Source organism: Homo sapiens, chromosome 7, assembly GCF_000001405.40.
Source record: "Homo sapiens chromosome 7, GRCh38.p14 Primary Assembly".
Lineage (NCBI taxonomy): Eukaryota > Metazoa > Chordata > Mammalia > Primates > Hominidae > Homo > Homo sapiens.
This window is the reverse complement of record NC_000007.14, coordinates 68,283,237-68,301,745: the sequence shown is the minus strand read 5'-3', so window position 1 is coordinate 68,301,745 and position 18,509 is coordinate 68,283,237. Positions and strand designations below refer to the sequence as shown.

The following is an 18,509-nucleotide window of genomic DNA, read 5'->3' as shown; positions in this document are numbered from 1 at the left end:
GGTGTATCCATATAATGGAATATTATTTAACATACAAATAAATGAAGTACTGATACACGCTACCACGTTTGTGAAACTTGAAAACGTGCTAAGTGAAAGAAGTCAGTCAAAAAGACCACATATTGTATGATTCCATTTACATGAAATGTCCAGAATAGGCAAATCTGTAGAGACAGAAAGTACAGTACATTTGTTGTTACCGTACATTAGTTGTTATCTAGATTTGGGGGGGAGGTGAAGGCTGGGGTAAATGAGGAGTGACTGCTTATGGGTAACGGGTTCTTTTTGGAAGTGATAAAAAAGTCCTAAAAATGTGTTGATAGTTGAACAACTCTGTGGATATACTAAAAAGCATTGAATTGTACACTTTAAATGGATGAATTGCATGGTATGTGAATTATAACTCAATAAAGCTGTTACAGGAAAAAAAAGAAGACCATTGTAAGGTGGCTAAGAATTTAAAGAATGTAAATCCCGTAGGGTCTTGTTAAAGAAATACTAGATGATAAACTTCAGCCAACCAAGAAATGAACGGTAACGTTATGGTAAACAGACTGGCTGTAAACATTGAATCAATTTAACTGTGGGACTAAACTAAAAAAGAAAAAAAGTGGTTTCAAAACAGTAAGTGTTCTAGATTATAATCCATTCAATAAAATAAGAATCTCTGGGATCGTGCCACTGCACTGCAGCCTGGGCGACAGAGTGAGACTCCATCTCAAAAAAAAAAAAAAAAAAGAATCTGGGTTCATTCTGATATAAATAAACAGAGGACGAAAGAGAAGCTCTTCCTTATAATAAAAGTTCAGCTAATAAATGTAACAGAACTTATGAAAATAGAAAATAGGCTGGGCACAGTGGCTCATGTATGTAATCCCAGGGCTTTGGGAGGCCGAGGCAGGCGGATCACCTGAGGTCAGGAGTTCAAGACCAGCCTGGCCAACATGGTGAAACCCTATCTCTACTAAAAATACAAAAATTAGCTGGGTGTGGTGGTGGGTGCCTGTAATCCCAGCTACTTGGGAGGCTGAGGCAGAAGAATCTCTTGAACTAGAGAGGCAGAGGTTGTAGTAAGCTGAGATCGCACCACTGCACTCAAGCCTGGGTGATAGAGCGAGGCTCCGTCTCTCAAAAAAAAAAAAAAAAAAGAAAAGAAAATAGAAAGTCACCATTTGGCAACCATTGTAGTGGCCTTTGGCCATAGTGGACCTGTGGTCGCACATTCAGGCATGCTAAGGCAGGCGGATGGTATGTTGATGATGTACAGGATGCTGGCATGATCTCAGAATATGCTCCCACAAAACAATAACCAATTGCAAGAGCAAAACTAGTGTCCTTCTGGTGGAGAAAACCGGGAGATTCCAGCATGACCAGGTGACTGGAAATTAGTGTCACCAGCGGTGGGTGGTACAGATTGACATCGTGCACTTCTTTTTTTTTTTTGAGACAGAATCTCGCTCTGTCGGCCAGGCTGGAGTGCAGTGGCACGATCTCAGCTCACTGCAACCTCTGCCTCCAGGCTCAAGCAATTCTCCTGCCTCAGCCTCCCAAGTAGCTGGGATTACAGGCGTGTGCCACCATGCCAGGCTAATTTTTGTATTTTTAGTAGAGACGGGGTTTCACCATGTTGGACAGGCTGGTCTTGAACTCCCGACCTCAGGTAATCCGCCCGCCTTGGCCTCCCAAAGTGCTGGGATTACAGGCGTGAGCCACTGCGCCTGGCTGACATCGTGCACTCTTAATGCAGAGAACACAGTATGATGTCAGTGACATCCCTACCAGGAATCCTTGATCTGAGTCTGGTCACAGAGAGACATCAGATGGACCCACACTCAGCGTCATCCCACAGAATAGGAGGCTTGTATTCTTTAAAATTGTTGGGGACATAAGTGACAGGAAAGATTAAGGAATTGGTCCAGGTTGGAGGACACTAGGAGACATGACAACTAGAATAGATGCAATACATTTTCCCAGATGGCATCTTGGACCCCAAGGGAAAAAGACACATCATTGAGAGAGTTGGTAAAATTTGAATGGGCTCTAAATGGATTGGATGGGAGCATAGTGAAAATGTTGACTTCCTGACTTAGAAGCTTGCATGAGAGATCTTTGTTTTAGAGAATGCACACGGAAGTGTTTACAAGTGAAGGTATACTGTTCCCACAGCTAGCTCAAGTGGTGAAGGAAAAGACTAGTGTGTGTGTGTGCATGTGTGTGTGTGTGTGTGTGTGTGAAAAGAGAAAGAATAAGAGCAAGGGAGGGAGAGTGGGGACAAGAGAGGGAGGAAGATATGTAAAAATGCAATAAGATGGTTAACAGCTGGGAAATATGGATGAAGCAGTTATGGGAATAACTTGAACTGTACTTGTAACTTCTATACATTTGTAATAATTTCAAAATACAGTATTTCTAAATAGCAGAATATAAATGTTAAAAATGTGAAAAATGGGCTGGGCGCAGTGGCTCACACCTGTAATCCCAGCACTTTGCGAGGCCGAGGCGGGTGGATCACCTGAGGTCAGGAGTTCAAGACCAGCCTGGCCAACATGGTGAAACCCTGCCTCTACTAAAACTACAAAAATTAGCCAGGCGTGGTGGTGCATGCCTGTAATCATAGCTACTTGGGAGGCTGAGGCAGGGGAATCACTTGAACCCAGGAAGTGGAGGTTGCAGTGAGCCGAGATCACGCCACTGCACACCAGCCTGGCCAACAGAGTGAGACTCTATCTCACAAAAAAAAAGGGGGGGGGACAATGTAAATAAAAAGAAAATGGTATAATTATCAACAGAGAAGAATTTGTTGGCTCAGGGTTTTTGAACATGCTATTCTTCCTCCCTGAATTGTCTCACCCCACATTGTTTTAATACAGTCTTGCTCTGTCACCCAATCTGAAATGTAGTAGTGCAGTCATGACTCACTGCAGCCTCAACCTCCCTGGATCAAGTGATCCTCGCACCTGAGCCCCTCAGGTAGCTGGGACTATAGGCATTTACCACCACACCTGTATAAATTTATTTATTTATTTATTTATTTTTTGTAGAGATGGGGTCTCCCTATGTTACCCCAGGCTGGTCTCAAACTCCTGGCCTCAAGCAATCCTCTTGCCTTGGCCTCCCAAAGTGCTAGGATTACAAGTGTGAGCTACCACACCCAACCTCTAACCCCACATTTTAAAAGGGTGGATTATCTCGTGCCATTCATGTCTTAGCTTAAATATCCTTAGGAAAGAATGCCCCTGGCTACCCTTGTTTCTAGCTATTTTCTTTGCGGCACTCATAAGCAGCCAACATCATACTAGGTAATTACCTATTGGCCACACAGAGGTGGGCACTTGATATGCTTGGTTTATTGCTCCATGATGCCTCTTTTCCTTGAGGATCCAAAATGCCATCCAGGAGCATGCATTGCATTTAGTTGTCATGTTGCCTCCATCTTCTCCAATCCTCGGTACCCCCCAAAAAAAAATGGCTGGCACATAGTAGTTGCTCATTAAACATCTCTTATTGTTGAAATGCTGAGATGGAGAAAGAGCATAGAAACTGGAAGGTGAAGCATTCTGATTCCCCTTTAATACCCCTCAGGGTCAACAGATATAATTTAAAGGGCAAACTGCTAAACACCATGTGTTCTTTGTAACCATTTGTGTGAGAAAAAGACTGAAAAGGCTAGGCACCTTTCATCTTAATTAAATGAAATTAATTAAAAGCTCATGTCTGTAATGCCAGCACTTTGAGAGGCTGAGATGGGAAAATCACTTTAGCCCAGGAGTTCGAGACCAGCCTGAGCAACACATTGAGACCCCATCTCTATTTTCAAAATACAAATAATATAAATTTTAAAAATAAAGAGACGGAAAAGTAGGAGAATGGGCTCCTCCTACACGTGGGCTGTAAAAATACAGCATATCTCAGTGCTCGTGGATGGGACACTCACATCTTCTCACATATATTTTAGCCTCCAAGAAAATGCCTTGGCTAACTACATCCCATTTTAGGGCAGAATATCCCAGCTGTGAATAGGCACAATTGCCATATCCATAAATCCTAGGCAATCAGACTGACTGGGTTCAAATCTCAGCTCTGCCATTTATTAGCTGCTTGATGTTGAGAAAGTTACCTATCTCTTTCTTGGTTCGCTCATCTATAAAATGGGAACAATAGTAGTACATATCTCACAGAAATGTTGTGAAGGAAATAATATTTAAGTGCCTAGAAAACAGTGCATGGGCTGGGCATGGTGGCTCATGCCTGTAATCCCAGCACTTTTGAAGGCCAAGGTGGGCGGATCACCTGAGGTCAGGAGTTCGAGACCAGACTGGCCAACACGGTGAAACCCCGTCTCTACTAAAGATACAAAAAAAAAATGTAGCCTGGCCTGGTGGTACACACCTGTAATCCAAGCTACTTGGGAGGCTGATGCAGGAGAATCGCTTGAACCTGGGAGGCGGAGGTTGCAGTGAGCAGAGATGGCGCCACTGCACTCCAGCCTGGGCAATAAGAGCAAGACTCCGTCTTGAAAAACAAAACAAAAACAAACACAAACAAACAAAAAGAAAACAGTGTATGGTACAGCATAAATAATGCTATGAGTATCATCAAAAGACTTGTATCTTTTGGTTAATCTCTGCTAATAAACCCACTACAACTATGAAGTAACTGACTTTCCAATATTAAATGCACCCCATTCTTTCCTCTAGCTTAGTCCCTCTAACCACAAAATAATCCCAGGATGTTAAAAAAAAAAAGTATAAGGTATTGTTCAATATATCCTGTGACTTTGATTGTGGCAAAGACTGCTCTACGCTCACTTTCTTTTCCTCCTGGGCACAGAGCAAGAGAACCCTCCCAGCTTCCCTTGCAGTGGAAAGTGCCGGTGGCTGAGTTCTGAACAATGGAATATGAACAGAATGATGCACACTGCATGCCTCTCTAACCCTCAGATCTCTAGACAACTGCAGAATATCCAGTAGAGAACTCTGGGGTTCTAGGGGATAGTAGAGTGTGGGTCCTTGAATGACCCTGTAAACAAACAAACAAAAAATTCTAAGGTCTTCCCCAAACCACCTGAATGGACCCCTGCTCTCCAACAAGGGCATTCCAAAGTTAACCTGATAAAACTAGTTCAGGACATGATGGGAAGGGGGAGCCAGATGTGCTTCATTATACCCGCCGCCCCTTTGGAATTACTTATAAAACAGACTCTTTCAGTCTGATAAATATTTGCAATCTATTGTCTCTGAAGCCTGCTACCTGGAGGCTTCATCTACATCATAAAACCTCAGTCTCCACAACCCCCTACTGTAACCCTAACCCAGACATTCCTTTCTATTGATAATAACTCTTTCAACCAACTGCCAATCCAAAAATCTTTGAATCTACTCGCAACTTGGAAGCCCCCACTTCCGTTTGTTCAGCCTTTCTGGACTGAATCAATGTACATCTTCTGTGTATGATTGATGCCTTACTTATCTCCCTAAAATGTTAAGAAACCTAGTTGTGGACCAGCCACCCTGGGCACATGTTCTGAGGATCTCCTGAGGACTATGTCAACAGGCCAATGGTCAGTCACATTTGGCTCAGAAGAGATCTCTTCAAATATTTTAGAGTTTGACTCTTTCCATTGACAACCCCATGAATACATATTGGGCTGTGATCTGGGTTTAAGCCACTGAGTCTTGGGGTTTGTGTGCTATATAGCACTTAGCCTCACCTGGCTGAGAAATGCATAGTATTGGCAAAGGAAGGAGTTAAGGGAAGAGAATTGAGAGGAGGGGTTGGAGAGCAGGGAGGGTCAGCCTTGGACAAAGGAGGTTCGGACTGATTGAAGCAGCACAGATATCCTGAAGACACAGAATAAAATCTTTGCAATAGCCAAGTTCAGATAACTGTGCTTGGAGAATTGAAGAGAAGCAGGGGAGGTGTGAAAGGGAAAATAAAAAGGCTCTAAGGTTGGAAAACGTGTGTGAGCATTTGAGCTGATGGAGACAGGCTGCAAGTCAGCTACACAAACCACTTCAGTTCAACAATAGGTATTGAGCAGACCTAGCTGGAGGGCAACATCTTCTTCTATCAGTGAATGCCTGGGCTGGGAAGATATAATAATGCAGGCAGCTCCAACAAGACTGAAACTGAAAGCCATGGAATCCTCTAACACAGGGGTCCCCAACCCCCGGGCCATAGACTGCAACCGATCCTCCGTGGCCTGTTAGGAACCGGGCTGCACAGCAGGAAGTGAGTGGCAGGCAAGGGAAGCTTCATCTGTATTTTCAGCTGCACCACACCAGTCTCATTACTGCCTGAGCTCTGCTTCCTGTCAGATCAGTGATGGCATTAGATTCTCACAGGAGCATGAACCCTATTGTGAACTGTGCACGTGAGGTATCTAGGTTGCGCACCCCTGATGAGAATCTAATGCCTGATGATCTGTCACGGTTTCCCATCACCCCCAAATGGGAGGAAAACGAACTCACAGCTGCCACTGATTCCACATGATAGTGAGTTGTATAATTATTTTGTTACATACTACAATGTATTAATAATAGAAATAAAGTGCACAGTAATCATAATGCACTTGAATTATCCCAAAACCATCCTTACCCCTAGTTCATAGAAATATTGTGTTTGACAAAACCAGTCCCTGGTGCCAAAAAGATTGGGGACCTCTGCTCTAGAATGTTGGGGTGACTGCTTAGAGGGGTTCCACTTAAGACAGAGCAGAAATCCTCTCTTAGGGGCCTGTTGGACACCCCTCACTCCCAAGCATAAAAATAAAGGAAAATCTTGATTTCCCCAAGGGAAGTCCCAGGCACCTAGCTAACCTTGAAGATTAAGTGAGCAACTTGATAAGCAAGAAGACAGTAGCTTAAAACAATAGCCAAGGAAGTTAGAGTTTGGTTCCCTATAGAAACTAAAGAAACGTCTTAACACATATCCCTGAGTTGTTTTTTAAAAACCTACACCCCCATCAAATAGATGTCAGATAAAGAGAAACTGAGGACTGAACTTTAACCACCTCCTTTGCCCCTGAATTTCTTTTTTGAGGGGTCTGGAGGGGTCACACTGTGGGCCAGAGTTAGTAGTCTTCGTTGCTGACCACAGAATTTTAGACAAGACTTTACCTCCTTAACCAATCACAAATCAGAAAATCTTTGAATCCGTACGACCTGTGGGCGCCCTCTTTGAGATGTCCCGTCTTTTTTTAGGTCAAACCAATGTATGGCATTCACATATTGATTAATAACTTTCCTGTTACCTCTGCTTCCTTGCCTTTAAAATTTCTTACCTGTAAGCCAGGTAGGAGTTCAGGTCTTAAGAATGAGCTGCCCTAGTCTCCTTGCTCAGCACCCTGCAAATAAATGCTTCACTTTCTCTTGCTGCAATTCTGATGCCCAGTCCTGATGGCTTTGCTGCACTGGGTGGGTGGACCCAAGTTGAGTTTAGGATAACACTTTATCCTAAAATTATGTGTATCCCATTCTTCTCTTAGTGCCAGTTCCAAAAAGATACAAAGGTAATTAATGAATCTAAAAGTGAATATTGGCCAGGCCTGGTGGCTCATGCCTGTAATCCCAGCACTTTGGGAGGCCAAGGTGAGTGGGTCACTTGAGATCAGGAGTTTGAGACCAGCCTGACCAACATGGCAAAACCTGCCCTTCTAAAAATACAAAATTAGCCAGGCGTGGTGGCGCACACCTGTAATCCCAGCTACTAGGGAGGCTGAGGCACGAGAATCACTTGAACTGAGGAGGCAGAGATTGCAGTGAGCTGAGATCATGCCACTGCGCTCCAGCATGGGTAACACAGCAAGACTCTGTCTCAAAATAAAATAAAATAAAAGTGAATATCTATTTCCAATGACAAATATTTATCAATCACTCCCCATGTAAGATGCACTGTTCTAGGTTATTTGAAAATGCAGGAATGTTAAGAAACATTGTCTGTCTTTGAGGATCTCATATTCCTGTCAGAAAGACAGCCCTCACAGATGAGGGAGAACAAAGCACAAAAATGAAGGATCAATGCTTGTATGTGTCACACAATAAGGGCATTATTTCATATTTGATATTGGTGAGGGATGGATCATGTCACCCTATAACTATGGAAAATTAGAGAAAGTTGTTTTATTTTAAAGAGGATCTACTAAACATTCTAAGTGCCAGTGAGGGCTTTCGAAATGATGGCTGAAGCTGTGCCAACCCAAGGGGAGGAGAAGATTGAAGACTTGGCCCATGTCAATAGCAGAAAACAATAAATAGGGGTTGGTCATAGAATGGTTGTTCAGCCTAGTCTTGGCAACTTGTCTTAATTTCTTTAGTATAGGTAACTATTTATTCGCAGAAAAATGTGGGCACCCTTACATGAGTTATTAATAGGCTGAGAATGTAGTTCATAGAATATCCCTTCTTGTTTTGGCCAAATTAAGGTAGTTATGGAGAAAGAAGAAAACTTACAAAACAGAAATCACACAATCAAGTCATAAAGCTGGTGACAGATGAATGGCACTGTCACTAATACCAGAAACACTTTAATAGCTGCCAAAGGGCCTCCCCAACCATGCTGGACCCAGGCAGAAAAAGGAGAGAACTGAGAAGTTCAGGTTCCCAGGGACTTGGTGAGTGCAGGTCAATGCGGGTAGGGTTGTGAATATTGCACACACACCAAGCCTTCCTTCTCAGAGGACTCCTGGGGTAAAAAATTCAGGAGTTTTATAGGCAACACTCAAGAGTAAGCTGGTCAAATGGTTAATTTCTCTCCCAAGTTCTTCGTAGAGAAAACAGCGTCAAGCAAGGAAATCAAGTCAACAAGCTGAAAGGACACAAAGTCTAAAGAAGAGCTATGGTGAAAGTAAAAAAATGGACAAAATTAAAATAAAGGGGGAGGAAACTAGATGAGCTGTAACGGGAGAAAAAGATCAGAGGATCCTGAGCAATTGCAACCAGTAAAGCTGGAATGACCATCATTCTATGGCCACAGATATCAAGCATGTGTATAGGTTACAATGGTTTAATAACAGATGGATGGTTTTCTTTTTCTTTCCTTTTTTTTTGAGATGGAGTCTTGCTCTGTCACCCAGGTTACAGTGCAGTAGCACGATCTCGGCTCGCTGCAACCTCCGCCTCCCGGGTTCAAGTGATTCTCCTGCCTCAGCCTCCGTAGTAACTGGGACTACAGGTGCACATCACCACGCCCAGCTAATTTTTTTATTTTTAGTAGAGACTGGGTTTCAATATGTTGGCCAGGATGGTTGTGATCTCTTGACCTCAGGTGATCCACCCACCTCGGCCTCCCAAAGTGCTGAGATTACAGGCATGAGCCACCGTGCACGGCCGGATAGATGGTTTTCTAATCTCCCAAGGAAGAATATTGGAAAGGATCATGATTGCTCAAATGCTACCCACGTCTTGACTTTCCTTTCTTACTTCTAAGGCTTATGAATGTGAGGTGTATGGTTGTCTCCACCTTGCATACTTTTAATGGGAATTCTTTTTAAAAAAATTTTTTTTGGTTCGGGAGTACATGTGAAAGTTTGTTACACAGGTAAACTCGTGTCTCAAGGGTTTGTTTGGCAGATTATTACATCACTTGGATATTAAGCTCAGTACCCAATAGCTATCTTTTCTACTCCTCTCCCTCCTCCCACCTGCTACCCTCAAGGAGACCCCAGTGTCTGTTGTTCTTCTCTTTGTGTTCATGGGTTCTCAACATTAATCTCCTACTTACAAGTGAGAACCTGCAGTATTTGGTTTACTGTTCCTGGGTAATGGCCTCCAGCTTCATCCATGTTCCTGCAAATAACATGAGCTCATTCTTTTTTATGGCTGCATAGTATTCCCTGGTGTATATATACCACATTTTCTTTATCCAATTTGTCATTGATGGGCATTTAGGTTGATAACATGTCTTTGCTATTGTAAACAGTGCTGCAACAAACATTTGCATGCATGTGTCTTTATGGTAGAAAGATCTATATTCCTCTGGGTATATACCCAGTAATGGGATTGCTGGGTTGAATGGTAGTTCAGCTTTTAGCTCTTTGAGGAATTGCCACACTGCTTTCCACAATTGTTGAACTAATTTATACTTCTACCAACAGTGTGTAAGTGTTCCCTTTTCTCCACAACCTTGCCAGCATCTGTTATTTTTTGACATTTTAATAATCTGATTGGTTTCAGATGGTATCTCATTGTGGTTTTGATTTGCATTTCTCAAATGATCAGTGATATTGAGCTTTTTTTAAATGCTTCTTGACCGCATGTATGTCTTCTTTTGAAAAATGTCTGTTCATGTCCTTTGCCCACTTTTCAATGGGGTGGTTTCTCTTGTAAATTTGTTTAAATTCCTTATAGATGCTGGATATTAGATCTTTGTCAGATACATAGTTTGCAAATATTGTCTCCCATTCTGTAGGTTGTCTGTTTACTCTGTTGATAGTTTCTTTTGCTGTGCAGAAGCTCTTAAGTTTAATTAGATCCCACTTGCCAATTTTTGTTTTCATTGTGATTGCTTTTGATGTCTTTGTCATGAAATATTTGCCCATTCCTAGGTCCAGGATGATACTGCCTAGGTTTTCTTCCAGGATTTTTATAGTTTGGGGTTTTACATTTAAGTTAGAAGATAGATAACAAACTGATTTACAAATAAATAATATGCCAGGTGGTCATAATTACTAAGGAAACAATAAACTAGGATAAAAGGAATAACAATTCATACAAACAATAGAGGAAAACTTAAATAGTGATAAAAGAAGACATATAACAGGGTGGGCATAAGTGAGAGTTAATTGTATATGTCAACTTGACTAGGTTAAGGGATACCCATACAACTAGCAAAACATTTTCTCTGGGGGTGTCTGTGAGGGTGTTTCTGGAGGAGATTAGCATTTGAATCAGTAGACTGAGTGAAAAAGAGCTGCTCTTAGTAATGTGGGAAAAGGCCGAGTGCGGTGGCTCATGCCTGTAATCCCAGCACTTTGAGAGGCCAAGACGGGTGGATCACCTGAGGTCAGGAGTTCGAGACCAGACTGGACAACATGATGAAACCCCGTCTCTACTAAAAATACAAAGATTTTCTGGGTGTGGTGGCATGCACCTGTAATCCCAGCTACTCAGGAGTCTGAGGCAGGGAAATTGCTTGAACCCCGGAGGCGGAGGTTGCAGTGAGCCGAGATCACGCCATTGCACTCCAGCCTGGGCTACAAGAACAAAACTCCATCTCAAAAAAAAAGAGTAACGTGGGTGAATACCAACCAATCCATTGAGGGTCCAGATAGAACGAAAAGGCTGAGGGAGGGCTAATTATTTTTCTTTTCTGGAGCTGGGACATCCATCTTTTCCTGCCCTTGAACATTGGAGCTACTGATTCTTGGGTCTTTGGACTCCAGGACTTATACCAGCCTGTCCCCTAACCCCTGCCCTGGTTCTCAGACCTTTGTCCTTGGACTGAAAGTTACACCATCAGCTTTCCTGGTTCTCCAGCTTACAGGTAACAGATCATTGGACTTCCTGGCCTCCATAATCACATAAACCAATTTTCATAATTTTATAATTATTTGCAAAACAATGCAAAGTGCTCCAAATATATATGGAGAGTTTAGGTCTTAGAATAAATTCTATGCAACAGCCAAGTTCAGATAACCGTGGTAGCTCTTAAAATAAAACCTTTGCAACAGCAGAGATTATATATAATCTCTGTTTTTCTGAGAAACCCTAATACAGCATATAATTTTATGAGGAAATTAGGCAATGCTGCACTTTGCACTTGAGTAGAAAAGTGGGCACTGAGCTTTCTGACAAGCAGTGAGCAAAACATACTGAATTTGGTCATTTAACTTACGCAATTAAAAAATATAGACATATGTATGTCATCAAAAAGAGTCAAGCTCTGTAAAATATTTGAAGAGATTTGATTTGAGCCAAATGTGAGTGACTATGGCTCATGACACAGCACTCAGGAGGTCCTGAGAACATGTGTCCAAGGTAGTCAGGGTACACCTTGGTTTTATACATTTTTAGGAGGCATGAGACATCAATCAAATACATTTAAGGAATACATTCAGGAAGGCGGGAAAACTCCAAGCAAGGGCTTCCAGGCTATAGGAAAATTTAAACATTTCCTGGTTGACAATTGGTTGAGTTTGTCTAAAGACCTGGGATCCATACAAAAGAAATGTCCAGGTTAAGGTAAAAGATTGTGGAGACCAAGGTTCTTTTGAAGTGTTATAGTGGCTGCCCTTAGAGACAATAGATGACAAATGTTTCCTATTCAGATCATCAAAAGGTGCTAGACTCTTAGTTAATGTCTTTAGGATTGAGAGGGCCTGTAACAAAAAGATCTAGCTATGTTGATAGAGATTCTTTACAGATGCAAGTTTTTGCCCACAAAGGACAGCTTTGCAGGGCCATTTCAAGATATGGCAAAGAAACGTATTTTGGGGTAAAATATTTTGACTTTCTTCTTTGTCACATAATGTTATGCCAGAGTTAGATTAGAAAGTAAGTCACAAAATATAGGGTTAAATAAAACCCATCTGGGCCGGGCGCAGTGGCTCACGCCTGTAATCCCAGCACTTTGGGAGGCCGAGGCGGGCGGATCACGAGGTCAGGAGATGGAGACCATCCTGGCTAACACGGTGAAACCCTGCCTCCACTAACAAAATACAAAAAATTAGCCGGGCGTGGTGGCAGGTGCCTGTAGTCCCAGCTACTCCGGAGGCTGAGGCGGGAGAATGGCGTGAACCCAGGAGGTGGAGCTTGCAGTGAGCCGAGATTGCGCCACTGCACTGTAGCCTAGGCGACAGACTCCGTCTCAAAAAAATAAATACATAAATAAATAAAATAAAAATGTAAAATAAAACCCATCTGATGAGAATTTATGGTTTGTAGGCCATGACTCTCCAGACCCCTTGGATAGGAATTTGGGCAAGAAAAAAAATCAGAGCTTAGTCCTCATGTATACATATTTTTTTCAGATAAGATGTTTTTCCAGCATCAAACGCTAAAGAGTATGTACCTTAATAATCCTTTTAAATACCTTAACTTCAGAGAATGGAAAAAGCATTAACATTCAGAGTCATAGGCAAATAATTGATGGCTGAGGAGGGACAGAACTTGGATTGAGGGGTGGGTGGGATGTGGCGATTTCCCTGGACCGGAGGTGGGGACTCTCCGAGAGGTTCTACCGGTTTTGACCAGCTGCTCTTTTTGCCTCGGTAGCCTCCTGAGTCTTCTGCATTGGAGCTTTTCTAACACAGACTGTTAGGCTCTATTGTGCTGATTTGACATCTGGAACAAATTCTTTTGTCATACACCATCAGACTTTAAACAAATAAGAGCTAATGAGTTATACAGATGCCATGATTTTGCCTCAACCAATAATTACTTTGTTCACTCAAGGGTAGTATGGAGATTCAGAGACAAGAGGATCTCTCCTGTTTCACCTCACATTAGAATTTGTTTGCTTTGACAAATATCTGACTTGTCTGATGTTTACGATGTAACATATTTATTTTGCCAGGTCTGCCCTATAGATCATCCTGTACCAGAGATCTACAGCATAATGGCCTGGAAGCAGTCTTTGTTTTGGAGCCAAGCCCAGCAAAGTCTCAATTCCTTCCCCTTCAATCGCCATCTGGATGAACAAGGCCAAGTCATTGACCTTCTCTGGGCCTCAGTTTCCTCACCCATAAACTGGAGGTAAAAACACATACCCCATGGGATGGGATTACATAAGAGCTTAACACAATGTCTGGCACAGAGTGGGAAATCAGTAAACATTTGCTCCCATCCTTTGCTCAAATCAGTTTTAATTAAAGGTCCCTTTGAGAAAATGAGGAAGTCAATCTTCATTTGACCGAGAAAAGAAGTAAATCTTTTTCTGTTGTTGTTAAGATAAGACTTATCTATGTAAGTTCACTTTAAGGATAGTGATTTGTTATTTTTCATTTAAAGCCAATTAATCAATGTAGTGTGGATGTCTTCTTTCTCCCTGGAGTCTCTTTGAAGTGGTTTGCTCTAGGGCATCTAAAGAAAGGATGTCAGAGGGCTGGAATAAGAGAAAGTTGACAGAATGGAGAAGGGGCTATTTGGGATAGAAGGGTATACATACTACCTCTCCAGCTGGTTCCCAGTGGGGGATATTAGGACAATGAATTGTAGCTCAGTGTCCAGTTTCTGGAACCTCTGGATGAAGTCAGATACTGCCTCCAGGGATGCCTATAGATATTCCTACCTCTGCCCAGGCAAGCCCACCTCCAGCTGCAGCAGCCACAACTGCTAGAAACAACCAACACCAGCAGGAGAGGAGATAAACCAGGTATAAGGCACCAGGAGAAATAAGTCGGGGACAGGGGTGGCAGTCAAATCATACTCCTTTTTTGTAATAAGTTTTATTTTGTTTTTCATTGTCACATAATAATTATATATATTTATGAGATGTAGTGTGATGTTTGCTGTACATTATGTAATGATCAAATCAGAATGGTTAGCATATTGATCATCTCAAATGCCTGCCATTTCTTTGTAGTAAGAACACTTAACTGAGGCAGGGGTATCACATGGTCAAGAGATCAAGACTATCCTGGCCAACATGGTGAAACCCCGTCACTACTAAAAATACAAAAATTAGCTGGGCCTGGTGGTGCGTGCCTGTAGTTCTAGCTACTTGGGAGGCTGAGGCAGGAGAATCCCTTGAACCCAGGAGGCAGAGGTTGCAGTGAGCCGAGATTGCACCACTGCACTCCAGCCTGGAGACAAAGCAAGAGTCTGTCTCAAAAAAAAAAAAAGCATTTAAAATCCTCTCTCCGAGTTACTTTGAAGTGTACCATACAGTATTGTCCACTATAGTCACTCTGCTGTGCAACAGCACACCAGAATTTATTTCTCCTGTCTAACTGTAACTTTGTGCTCATTGACCAACTTCTCTTTCTTTCCCTCTCCTCACCTACACTCGCCAGTCTCTGGTAACCACTGTTCTTTTATATGCTTCTATGAGATCAATATTTTTTTAGATTCTACACATGAGTGAGATCATACAACATTTGTCCTTATGTGCTTGGCCTATTTCATTAACGTAATTGTTTTCTAGGTTCATTCATGTTGTTACAAATAACAGGATTTCATCTTTTTTATGGCTGAATAGTATTCCATTATGCACATATGCAACATTTTCTTTATCCAGTCAGCCATTGGTGGACACTTACGTTGATTCCATAGCTTGGTTAGAGTGAATAATGCTACAATGAACATGGGACTGCATTATCTCTTCAACATACTGATTTCATTTCCTTTGGATATATACACACTAGTAGGATTGTTGGATAATATGATAGTTCTATTTTTAATTTTCTGAGAAACCTCCTTACTGTTGCTCGTAAGTGTAGTTTTGCATTCCCTTCAATAGTATATAAGAGTTTCCCTTTCTCTGCATCCTTGCTAGCACTTCTTATTTTGTTTATTTTTTATGATAGACATTTTAACCAGGGTGAGTGATATCTCACTTTGGTTTTGATTTGCCTTTCCCTAATGGTTAGTGATGGTGAGCATGTTCTCATGAACTTATTGGCCACTTGTGTGTCTTCATTTGAGAAATCTCTGTTTAGATCTTTTACTGATTTTTAAATCAGCCATATTATTTGTGTTTTGTTTTGTTTTTGTTTTTGTTTTTTTGCTGTTGTGGTGTTTGAGTTCCTTATATATTCTGGATATTAATCCCTTGTCAGATTCATAGTTTGCAAATATTTTTGCCCATTTTGTAGATTGTCTCTTCACTCTGTTGATTGTTTCCTTAGCCATCACCTTTTTCATAGAATTTGCCCAGAACAATGTCCTGGAGTATCTCCCCTATGTTTTCTTCTAGTATTTTTATAGTTTTGAGTCTTACTTTTATTAATTTTTTTTTGTAGAGTTGGGTTCTTGTTATTTGCCCAGGCTGGTATCAAACTCCTGGCTTCAAGTGATCTTCCTACCTTGGCCTCCCAAAGTTTTGAGATTATAGTCGTGAGACACTGTGTCCAGTGTCTCACTTTTAAGTCATTAATCTATCTTGAGTTGATTTTTGTATATGGTGAAAGATAGGGGTCCAGTTTCATTCATCTGCCTATGGATATCCAATTTTCCCAGCACCATTTATTGAAGACCATGTTCTTTCCCTAGTGCCTGTTTTCGTTGACTTTGTCAAAAATCAGTTGGCTGTAAATACATAGGTTTATTTCTGTGTTCTCTATTCTGTTCCATTGATGTGTACCATGCTTTTTTGGTTACCATAGTCTTGAAATATATTTCAAAGTCAGGTAGTGTAATGCCTTTAGCTTTATTATTTTTGCTCAGAAATACTTTGGCTACTTAGGCTCTTTTTTGGTTCCACATGAACTTTAGAATTGCTTTTCTATTTCTAAGAAAAGTGGCATTGATATTTTGATAGGGATTGTTTTGAATCTATAGATTGCTTTGGGCAGTATAGCCATTTTAATGATATTAATTATTCCAATTCATAAACATGAGATGTCTTTCCATTTGTTTGCATCCTCTTCAAATTTTTCATTGGCATTTTGTATTATAGTTTTACTTGTAGAGCTCTTTCATCTCATTAGTTAAATATATTACTCGGAAGGGTTTTTTTTGGTAGATATGTAAATGGAATTACCTTCTTGGTTTCTTTCTCAGCTAGTTCATTATTGATGTATAGAAATGCTACTGATTTTTGTATGTTGGTTTTACATCCTGCAACATTACTGAATTTAATTATCAGATCTAAGAGTTTGTTGGTGGAGTCTTTAAGTTTTTGTAGAGGTAAGATCATGTCATCTGTGAAGGACAATTTAATTTCTTTGTTTCCAATTTGCATACTTTTTATTGCTTTCTCTTGCCTGATTGCTCTGTCTAGGAATTCCAGTAGTATGTTGAATAAGAGTAGTGAAAATGTGTATTCTTGTCTAGTTTCAGTTCTTAGAGGAAAGATTTTTAGCTTTTCCCCAAGCAGTATAATATCAGCCATGGATTTGTCATATACGGCTTTTATTATGTTAGGTATTTCCTTCTGTGCCTTGTTTGTTAAGAGTTTTCATCATGAAGAAATGTTGAATTTTATCAAATTCTTTTTCTGCATCTATGGAGATGATCATGTGGTTTTTGTCCTTTGTCCTACTGATGTGATGTATTACATTTAGTTATTTGTGTATGTCAAAACATTTTTGCATCCCTGGGATAAATCCCGCTTGATCATGGTGTACTATCTTTTTGATGTACTGTTGCATTCAGTTTGCTAGTATTTTGTTGAGGAGTTTTGTGTCTATGTTCAAAAGGGATGTTGGCTTGTATTTTTCTTTTCTTCATTGCATCCTTGCCCGGTTTTGACATCAGGGTAATACTAGTCTCATAGAATGAATGGGGAGAATCCCCTTCTCTCCATTTTTTTTGGAATAGGGAGAATTGGTGTTAGTTCTTTGTAAGGTTGATAGAATTATTCAATGAAGCCATCAGTCCTGGACTTTTCTTTTTTTGGGAGTCTTTTTATTGCTGAGTCAATCTGATTATTCTGATTATTGGTTTGTTCAGGTTTCTATTTCTTCCCAGTTCAATATTGATATGTTGAATATGTTCAGGAGTGTATGTATTTCCTCTAGATCTTCTAGTTTGTTAATGTATACTTGTTCATAAGTCTCCGATGATTTTTTGTATTTCTGTGGTACCAGTTGCAATGCCTCCTGGTTTTTTTTCTGATTTTTAAAAATTTGAGTCTTTGCTTTTATTTTCTTGGTTAGTTGGGTAGCAGTTTATTGATTTTGTTTATCTTCTCAAAAAACAATTTTTTGTTTCATTGACCATTTGTAACTTTTTTAGTCTCCATTTTGTTTAGTTCTGCTCTGATCTTTATCATTTTTTCTCTTCTACCAATTTTGAATCTGGTTTATTATTGCTTTCCTAGTTCCTCAAGGTACGTCATCAGATTGTCTATTTGAAATCTTTCTACTTTTTTGATGTAGATGCTAATTGGTATAAAATTCCCTCTTAGAATTGCATTTGTTGTATCCCATAGATTTTGGTGTGTTGTGTTTTGATTTTCATGTTGTTTAATTTTCATGTATTTTTTTCAGTTTTCAGAGTTCCTCGTGTTATTGATTTTGATGTATTCCATTGTCTGAACAGATACTTGACATGATTTCAATTTTTTTTATGGTTGAGACTTGTTTTGTGTTTCAACATATAATCTGTCCTAGAGAATGTTCCATGTACTGATGAGAAGAATGTGTATTCTGTACCTGTCGGATAAAATGTTCTGTAAATGTCTTTGAGGTCCATTTGTTCTAAAGTGCAGTTTAAATCCAATAAATCTTTGTTAATTTCCTGTCTAGGTGACCTGATTACTACTGAAAGTGGGATGTTGGAGTATCTGACTATTATAGTATTGGAGTCTATCCTTTTCAACTTAATAATATTTGCTTTAAATATCTGGGTGTTTTAGTGTTGTATTCATGTATGTTTAGAATTTTTATATCCTCTTACTGAATTAATCCT

At 40.5% G+C, this 18,509-nt stretch overlaps 1 long non-coding RNA gene across 3 annotated transcripts in view, besides 1 other annotated feature; it reads left to right on the top strand.

Annotated features, from left to right (window-relative positions):
- LOC105375341 (uncharacterized) overlaps positions 1-18,509 on the top strand; it is a 170,147-nt gene that overhangs the window by 17,949 nt on the left and 133,689 nt on the right. For all 3 annotated transcript variants that reach the window (NR_187905.1, NR_187906.1, NR_187907.1), the window contains exon 2: positions 13,513-13,691. This is a non-coding gene — a long non-coding RNA (uncharacterized LOC105375341). The remainder of the gene's footprint in view (positions 1-13,512; positions 13,692-18,509) is intronic.
- Positions 11,972-12,523: an enhancer, noted in NCBI's record as "NANOG hESC enhancer chr7:67754210-67754761 (GRCh37/hg19 assembly coordinates)". NCBI's record gives its function as "activates a minimal SCP1, AML or CMV promoter by ChIP-STARR-seq in naive H9 embryonic stem cells {active_cell/tissue: H9 hESC(naive)}" and the evidence as "EXISTENCE:reporter gene assay evidence [ECO:0000049][PMID:30033119]".